Here is a 2,808-nt window from a genome sequence, read left to right as displayed (position 1 = left end):
TGCATCTGTATGTGTCTGTGTGCATCTGTATGTGTCTGTGTGTATGCATGTGTGTGCAGGTGTGTGCATGTTTCTGTGCATGTGTGTGTATGCATGTTTATGTGTGCACGTGTGTGCGTGTGTGCGCCTGTGTATGTGCGTATGTATGTGCACATGTATGTGCACGTGCGTGGTTGTGTGTACACTTGTGCATGCACATGTGATTGTGTATGCATCTGCATGTGTATATGTGTGCATGTGTTTGTGTGCACGTGTGTATGTACATGTGTTTGTATGTGTGTATGTGCACATGCGCATGTGCATGTGTGTGTATGCACATGTGTGTATGCATCTGTATGTGTGTCTGTTTATGTGTGCATGTGTGTGTGCGTGTGTGTGTGTGCCTCCTCTACTTGTTTCTGGATATTCTACCCTTTGCTTGCAGTTGTTCCTAAGACAGCAACAGGAAGAGGCAGAGCATATGTAATTCAGTTTCTATCTTGGTCAATTTTAGTAACAGAAGTGTAGTTGCACTTAAAATATTATGTCGACAAGACGAAGAGATGGTTAATAAGATGCTAATATAAAATAGTCTGAAGTATAGAAGAACGAAATGGTAGTGCATTTATGTCCTCGCCCAGTTGATTGGACTGTATTTCAACAATTCATGAGTTAAAACTAAAAGAGGTGGGGAAAAAACTGTCAGCATCTAATACTTTTCAAAGAAATTTTGTGAGCCTTAGAAGATTGAAAATGTGCCTTGGAGTTGAATGCTTTGTGTGACAAGATGTAGAGTTTATGATGCAGAAAGGGCACAAGCCACAGTTGAATAAAAGCTGTATCATACTGTATTGAAAATGCAGTAATAGGACATTCATTCGTGCAACTAAGATGTAGATGCCTCTATTCCAGGCGTGGGGCTAGGTATTAACAAGTACCAGTTAGCATCTGGTCAACAGTACATACAATGCCACATCTACCATTTGAGCACAGATAATTTCATATAAAGAATTGTAAAACAGGTATTAATGAACAGACAGAAAAACAATGGAGCACTTAGACCTCATGCAGGGAGCAATAGGAAGCAGTTAGTACTCCTAGGGTTGAGGAACAAAGAGCTGAAGTTGAAATTACTGAAGCCCGGAAGTTTGGAGGTGGGACGCTGGAATTGATTTGACCTCTGAGGAGGGGTCACTGCTCTGTGGATAGTGTCTCCAAGGAAGGCGCAGGGTCTAGTTCTAACATGGGTTAGAAAAATTTCAGTCTAAAATTAATTGTTGCTAGCAAAACAAATAGCCTTTATCCTGTTGAACAAAATTGGTTAGGGTTCGATTCAAAAAGGCAGCACCAACAAAAAAGGAATAGGAAAGAAAATAGGAAGGAATTTCTCCCACTTCTCCCTTAAGCCTCTCTGTCTCCCTCCAGCACCCTCTCTGGACTTACAGCCTAACAGCCAGCCAGTGGACCAGGGAAGTCCCTCTTTCAGCCCCACACAGCAGAGTGTTGAAGGCGGGGTTTGAAGCTGAGACACCCTATCTTAATAACTGGCACAGGAAGTAATAAAGATTTATGAGACATTTACCTTGTTTCTAAGGAATTTTCATTTTAGTAGGGGAGAGAGATCTGTGATCAAATGCTTGTAAAAGGAATACACGCAAAAATCTACAGAGGTGACCTCCATATGTATACATTATGAATTATGAATTTTAAAATATATACAATATTACTAATATTGATATTGGTATGTTTCTTTTAAATGAAAAAATATGATAATACAGTTATCATGGAGGCTAAAATTAGAATAGACTTTAAGAAATAATTTGACCCTGCTCCAAACCTTCATCTAGGTAAGGTATTTTTGAAATGATTCTGGCTTGGATGCAGGGGTGAGTGTGCCTAGGGTCTCTTAGCTGGCATACTGGGGAAGGTGAACCTCTGCTTCCTAGCAGAAAGTTATATCTACCTCTCCACCTTGTGACCTCTCAAGACATATAAAAAATAATTATCTTATTTCACATTTTAATTTAAAAATCATTGATTCTTCTAAATATGTCTCATACAGTGCTGCATTACGTGAGTGGCAGTGCTATATTACATGAGTGGCATTGATTATTCTAAACATTTCTGATACAGTGCTGTATTACATGAGTGCTATGTTACGTGTTATCAGCTGGACAGCCGAGAGCTGCTTATTTTTAAATCTTTAGATGCCTTTGATGAGATTCCTGTAAGTGTCAGTCTGCCTTACCATTAGATTACTCTGATCTGCCTGATCTGCCATCTTCTCTTAAACGTAAATCTGCCCATATCAGCAGGAAAGTTACAGAGAGAACACATAAATATATATCATACTTTCACATAAAGGTAAACCTTAGAATATTTTATCATAAAGCATCAATTGCTGATGCGTACTTATGTGTGCATATATGTAAATATAAAATTACAGTACAGCGAAGAGCTAGTGTTCCATGTCTTGTTCCTTTCACAGAGTGTATCATGGTTCCTTGAATATTATGTACAGTCATGCATCACATAAGAACATTTTGGTTAATGACAGACCATGTATACAATGATGGTCCCATAAGATTATAATACGGTATTTTTCCTGTACCTTTTCCATACTTAGATAAGTTTAGATACACAAATATTTACCATTATGTTGCAATTGCCTACAGTTAGTATTCAGTACAGTCACACGCTGTTTAGGTTTGCAGTCTAGAAACAAAAGGCTGTATCATATAGCCTAGGCATATAGTCGACTATGACATCTAGGTTGTGTAAATACACTTTATCATGTTTACACAATGACAAAAATCACCTAACTCATTT

General features: G+C 38.4%; 1 annotated feature.

The window, feature by feature from the left end:
* Positions 619-1,384: an enhancer, noted in NCBI's record as "OCT4-NANOG hESC enhancer chr6:154152732-154153497 (GRCh37/hg19 assembly coordinates)". NCBI's record gives its function as "activates a minimal SCP1, AML or CMV promoter by ChIP-STARR-seq in primed H9 embryonic stem cells {active_cell/tissue: H9 hESC(primed)}" and the evidence as "EXISTENCE:reporter gene assay evidence [ECO:0000049][PMID:30033119]".

Source organism: Homo sapiens, chromosome 6 (genome assembly GCF_000001405.40).
Source record: "Homo sapiens chromosome 6, GRCh38.p14 Primary Assembly".
Lineage (NCBI taxonomy): Eukaryota > Metazoa > Chordata > Mammalia > Primates > Hominidae > Homo > Homo sapiens.
Note: the sequence above shows the minus strand (reverse complement) of the source record. Positions and strands in the feature narration are given on the sequence as shown.